The 6,779-nt window shown below is 33.0% G+C and overlaps 1 annotated feature.

The window, feature by feature from the left end:
• Positions 1,159–1,258: an enhancer, noted in NCBI's record as "active region_1289". NCBI's record gives its function as "activates an Ori minimal core promoter by ATAC-STARR-seq in GM12878 lymphoblastoid cells {active_cell/tissue: GM12878}" and the evidence as "EXISTENCE:reporter gene assay evidence [ECO:0000049][PMID:35858748]".

Genomic DNA, 6,779 nt, shown 5'->3' on the forward strand with positions numbered 1-6,779 from the left:
TATAAATCTCACTCATGAGGGCTCTGCCCTCATGATCAAATCACCTCCCAAAGGCCCTACCTTCCAATACCATCACTTTGGGAGCTAGAATTTCAACATATGAATTTATAGAAAACACTAACATTCAGATGATAGCAGTAATATATGATATTATAAAATAATATATCATATGAATGGATGAGTCTTAACTAGCTCATTGTCAGCAAAAAGATATGAATTCATTTAGGAAGCCAGGATTCCAGTGACCTCCAAGGTTATCCTAGAGGATTGCTATTCCATGTAACTATAATTAAAAAGCAGAGGGGAGGTTGTATCCAGGGCTTTTATAGGTCAGACCTCGAAATAGGACACTTCCACTTATGTTCTATTGACTAGATTCAGTCACATGTGCATCTATCATCAAAGAAGTCCAGAAATATAACAGTAGATTCAAAAAAAGAGAAAATAGATGTTGGTCACTAGCTAGTAGTACATTCCACCACAAGTGCTCATATTTTTCTTTCTATACTTCTATATTTTGCAAATCTTCAATAAGAGCATGTATCTCCCCAAAACCAGAGAAAAACAAAGTATGTTTTATTTTTGAAAGGAATACTGAATATCTTTCCATAAGAAGATCACACTAATCATTATTTAAAATTGAAATACACCTTTTAGGTCCTTCAAAATGATTACTCTGGGATCATAAGCTTTACTTACAAAAGATATAGGAAATTAAGGCTGAAAAAGACATTAGACATTATCTTCTCTTTGTCATATAATGCAGTGTTTCTCAACATTTTTTGCATTATTGTCCCCCTAAAGAAAGAACATTTTTAAACCTTTTATTCCTAATCATCCTCCTATAATTTTGGTGACACAGATATGCTGTATATCTATTTTCAACCCCTTTGGGAGCAATATCACAATGAGATAAGAAATATGAGTCCAGAAAAGTTAAATTCACTCTCAAAAGTCACAAAACCAATGAATTCATTAATCAGAAATGATACCCAGTTGTCCTGAGTACCAATCCAGTGATATTTTACTATACTATATGCATGCTAGTATTCCAATTATCCACAATGTATAAAGGAAAAGAAAAAAAAAGCAGTGTCATAATGATGTAGATGCTGGTTGGAGGTGTTTTGTTTGCTTGCTTTTTGGCTTATTTTATTTTTCTTTTAGATTTGTTTTTTCCTGTGTCATAAATAACACAGGCAGAGCTATATCTAGATTTTCAATAACCATCGTTTGTAAAAATGCTATGAAAGAAGAAATGAAAATCAAGCCAAAGTGAAACTCACACTCAGTCATCTATCTAATGATCTGATGACTAATTCAGTTCACAAAATGTTTCCTCTCTCTACACTTTTTTCAGTGACAAAGAATGGTAAGGACCAGAAAGTGTGGCCTTCTCAATACAAATTCAAGACTTGTTTCTTTTTAAAAGTGTCTCAATGTTGCCAGTACCAATGGGATCAAGATGGCTTACTTTTCTAAGGAAATTGCATTGTCACTCTTTCCAACCAAGCACTAGCCAATGGAAAAAAGTAAAATACAACCTCACCTCACAAGCACCTACCTGAAACATGCTCTGTGTTCAGACAAAAGACAAGAGGCCAATGTGTGCTACACTCAAAATGGCTTTCCAGTTCTATGAAAGTAATTTTTAGAGTGACTTTAAAATATTGTATACAGGAAAGATGATAGTACTGCCATATACATTAGAATAATTTAACTAGAACAAAGTTAATGATCCTAATGTTTCATCTGGTTGATAATAATGACATTTTTATCAGATTTTATTATAGAATATTATAACTGTATTTGAGAGTGAGAAGAAACTGCCAAATATCAGAATTATTTAAAGTCTTTTAAAGTACCTCCAGAAATAAGCATAATTCAACGTTTTCTTTTTGTAACTGCTCATTCTTACATGGCAAGAAAAGTTATGTTCTTTCCTTTTAGTAGGACAGGTAAAATTGTCACTTAGAACATCAAGTCATTACATTTGTTTTTTAAAAGTATCATCTCTTAGATTCCATAACTAGTATTCTAAATAATTTTTTACTACCTTTTCAATTAAAAAAATCTGGCTAAAATTACTCTCTGACCTTTACATTAATATTCCTGCCTAATAAAGAGTTTGGGGAATCCTAAAGACTCATCTGGAAATGATAGAATTTCTGTTTTTGTCTTTCTTCCGTGGACACTAATGGCTTTTTGTCAGCCCTCTTCACTCAGTGTATGACACGTGAAGCCATTCCATTTAGTTGTCCATTAACCTCAAGCATAGTGACAAGAACAAAGCAACCCCCTAAAGAAACTGAGCTCAAACACTCATATTAAATTTCCCCAATTCCTTAGCTTATAAGGTGCTGTTTTCAATTGTCAATAATGTTCATGGAGTAAGCGATATCCATTACTAATTAAAACAAGCTGTTTAAACAAACACAAAAGGTCACCAAGCCTGTAGATCAACATATCCATGCTATTGTTTGGTTTCTTGGTGCATTACCATCTGATGATTTATTTCTATCTTCTATTCACCTATTTTTCTAAGTAACAAATATAGAGAATAAACACGCAGAAAGCAACCTTCCACAATAGGTGCCATGAGGCCCAGGGCTCCAATGTTGCACTGGATATTGTTTCCTTAAGATCAGTAATGTGCATCATATCACTGCAAATGAAAGCAAAGAAATTTTCATTTATTTTTTCTGAGTTTGTAGGGATCAAAGGCATAAACCACATGGAAAATGCAGTTTTTATTAGGAAAAGTGACACCTGTGGTTTTCTGCAAGATTTTTAAACAATCTTCTATCTACATGGATGTGCTATTAAGGCACAAATAAAATATAATACCTTGTCTGCCATGCTGAACAATGGCTTATTTTTGAAGTTTTCTTTATTTTTATGCCACTAAGTCCCCTACAAAATATTTTGAAACTATTTGCTCAATCTTTGCTTGAGCTCTGACATTTGAAACTGACTTTTCTTTTACAATTGTATTCCCTGACAGTATATTAATTACATAGAGGGTATAATCTCTGAATTAATATCAAACCAACTGAGTAAGCTAGTATAAAAGTCAGATAGACTTTTTAAGCTATTTAATATTAAGTTGTATAATTCAGTTATTATAATCATTTCCAAATTATCAACAGAAGTGGAAGGTAAGAATAATTTAAATTTACAAAACCCAGCACTAATTCCCAAACCTCACTTTAGTCAACATTATCAACATTGTCCTCCAAAGCTTTTATCCAAAATGCTATAATGCACAATTATGTTGTTAATTTACAGATTTTTAACTCATCTTATTTAATTTTTTTCGGACCCAAACTATAGCAGATGAATTAATTTTTAAGAAAGGAAGAGTGAAAAATAATTTTTGATGCTCATCTACTACATCTCTGAATGATAAACTCTTCACATACATCATCTCATTTAACTCTTATGCTAGTTCTATGAGTCTAGTAATATTGTCCACAATGTACAAATTAGGTTACTAAAGCTCAAAGAGTTTATATAACTTATTCAAGGTCATCCAGCCAGTAAGGAATAGAGTCCACGCCGAGACTACAACTATATAATCAAGCCCAGCAGCCCTAGAAGGGCTAAATTCAATGTGATACTTTTATTTTAGCAAAAAATAAGACATACTGAGCTTGAAAGTTTTAAATAGTGTTTAGTTGCAATACGTAATGGAGTTGCCCTATTCCATTCTGACTCTATGATTACACATATTGTGACTTTGCTTCCAACTTTGCAACATGGTAGTTCTTTGGTGCACGGAAGCACTTCATTAGTTACCATATGGTAAAAACAGTACAGCTGTATAGTAATGTTGACTTGGCTGTTCAACGCAATTTTTTCAGATGTTTGTATCTTGAGTGTTCAAACATTTAGACCTTTGAAAATGTTTTTCTTTGTCATATTCTGAGATTCTGCAAACTTATACCCATCACTTAAACTGTATTCAACCATATTCTCATTTTCACAGCCTGCACAATTAAAAAGCAGGCACATTTTTTGGTACATACAACACTGTGAAAAATAAGCAGCCTCAAAGGCAGAATCTGCAGGACGGTGCACTGAAAATTAAATTTGATACTTTTCCTGCTCATCTAAGTACTTGCCAGTTAAAAAGCTATTGTATCAAGTATAAACTATGCCAAAATGAACAAGTTTTCCCAACTTCTGAACCGGCTTATACATCACCATTTTGTTTTGACAAATTAAGTTTAAAACATTTTGAGTGATTAAAAGAATGAGAAACTGTACTAAATATTTCTATACCTTCAAAACATTTAAGCTTCATAGATATCCAAAATAACTTAAAAATAGAATGTGTGATTTAAGTATAAAGAAATCAAATTACTGAATTAAATGTCCTTAAATAACCTTAGTTTCTAAAGTATAACGCAAAATATATTTTAAATTTTTTTAGATGTTCTGAAACACAAAACATTATAAAAGGAACTGGAAATACTTTTAATAACAAAACAATTTATCTAGGTTACTATGGTCATGCAATTTCTCCATTGTCTTGAACTCCTGGCCTCAAGTGATCCACCCGCTTCAGCTTCCCAAAATGCTGGGATTACAGGCGTGAGCCACTGCGCCGGGCTCTCCATTGTCATTCATTTTTGTTTTCCTTCCCACTTAACTGGATATTAACATCTTCACCAAAGCCTTAAGAAAATTCCAAGGAAATGAAATTCAAATCCACTGATTCATGCTATATCTTTGCTATTCTTGTAAAAGGTTTGATGGGCGACAAGGTTTAAACTGCAGAGTAGAGAGCATTATTTGATGATTTGTAAGACTGAATTTCTTCAGGTAATTCAGGGCTAGCTATAGACCACTTTACCCCTGATACTATTAGAAAGAAAGTAACTCCAGTGTGACATGCTTTGTGAACATTTTTGAGAACATGCTTTGTGACATGTATAATTGTTCATTAAACCCTAAGAAAATAAAAGGACTTCATTACACAACCACCTCTGAATGTCAGTCTTCCTAAAGAACTTCCCAAAGAATATAAGAGGCCTAGTTTAAAATCCCCGCTCTCCTACCTTTTATATGACCTTAGACCATAGAATAATCATTTAACATTTCCAGAACTTAATTTCTTCACACATAAAGTTGAGATAATAATACAGTAATGTATTTCAAGAATTAAATGAGATAACACACTTAAATCATCCAGCCCAGTACCTGGCAATCAAAAGGTATTTAATAAATGCCAAGGATAATTCTAATAATGCAATTATTCTAATAAAATGTGTAAGTCAGTGAACATGATCCAAAGACTTTATTCTTATCCATCTTAATTCCCATAAAAATGGTCTAGGTAAGAAATTCTACCAGATTATACTGCACAGTAGGACAACCCAGAGGAAAAAAATAGGATTCAGATATACTACATTGAAAATTCTAGATTTTTACCACAAGCTTATATGTACACATTCATGGATTCGTGGTCAAGTCAAGGAGAGAATAGGGTAAGAATATTTTCACCCTGTTTTTAATGAAAAATCAAGTGGCCATTTTATTATGCAGAATATCTTCGGTGGCAAGGTTTACAAACTTGGTGGTCAGTTACTAATTTAACAGTACATAATAGATACACATGTGGCTCTGTGAGAGACCACCAAGTCATAAAAAATGTTACATATTAGCACATATTATGAGTAAAGTGATAAAAGTGAGTGATTCCTGTGATTTGCAGAATGGATTAGAAAATATAGTATTAACTAAATATTAAATATAGGTAATTTTAGTGGTGTTAATGAGAAAAAGTTCAACTATATAATATAATAATATAATAATGGAAATTTTATTTCATAGCAGGGAAGGCTGAAGTGAGAAAAAGAAAGAAAATAAAATGAAAAATTTTATGACTGGTTATTTCAAGAGAATAAAAATTTATATGCGTTCTGCAATGCCATTTTCTGTAGCAATATGTAATACCTGACTTTAATAAGACATTGCATTTGATATCAACAAAAATGTACAGCTAATTACTATATACTAAAAATAAGCAGGTATGATTAATGTGGAATTTCACAGTACAAATATTATAAACACAATATGCCATATATACTTACAAAGGGCCCTCAATGATCCTTGCAATCAAATTTCCTCACCATTTCTTATTCATAGTAGTTAGACTCCAAAGGCCATTTTATTTTGAACTTTCCCTATCCCTTTTAGTTCAAGTTGTCAATGGTTCTAATAAATACAATTCTCTGGCTAGGCATGGTGGCTCACATCTGTAATCCTAGCACTTTGGGAGGCCGAGGTGGGAGGATCACTTGAGGCCAGGAGTTCAAGACCAGCTTGGCCAACATGGTGAAACCCTGTCTCTACTTAAAAAGATACAAAAATTAGCTGGGCATGGTGGCACATGCCTGTGATCCCAGGTACTCAGGAGGCTGAGGCAGGAGAATCACTTGAACCTGGGAGGTGGAGGTTGCAGTGACCTGAGATTTCACCACTGCACTCCAGCCTGGGCAAGAGAGTGATACTCTGTCTCAAAAATTTAAAAATAAATAAATAAATAAATACAATTATCTTAAAAACTTTGTAGGTGTTCTACAAATCTTATTAAGGTTCACTCTATTAGACAAAAGCCATACCCACAAATCTTGTTGAAATAAGTCCTTCTGTGCCTTAAGCTTACTGTAATGCTGCTGCAAAAAAGGACCCTAAAAATTCTTAGGGCCTCTGTTGTGTAATAAAACAGTTTTACAAATAATGCCTTTAAAGTCTTTATGGGAACTTTTTTC

This window comes from Homo sapiens, chromosome 1 (genome assembly GCF_000001405.40).
Source record: "Homo sapiens chromosome 1, GRCh38.p14 Primary Assembly".
Classification (NCBI taxonomy): Eukaryota; Metazoa; Chordata; class Mammalia; order Primates; family Hominidae; genus Homo; species Homo sapiens.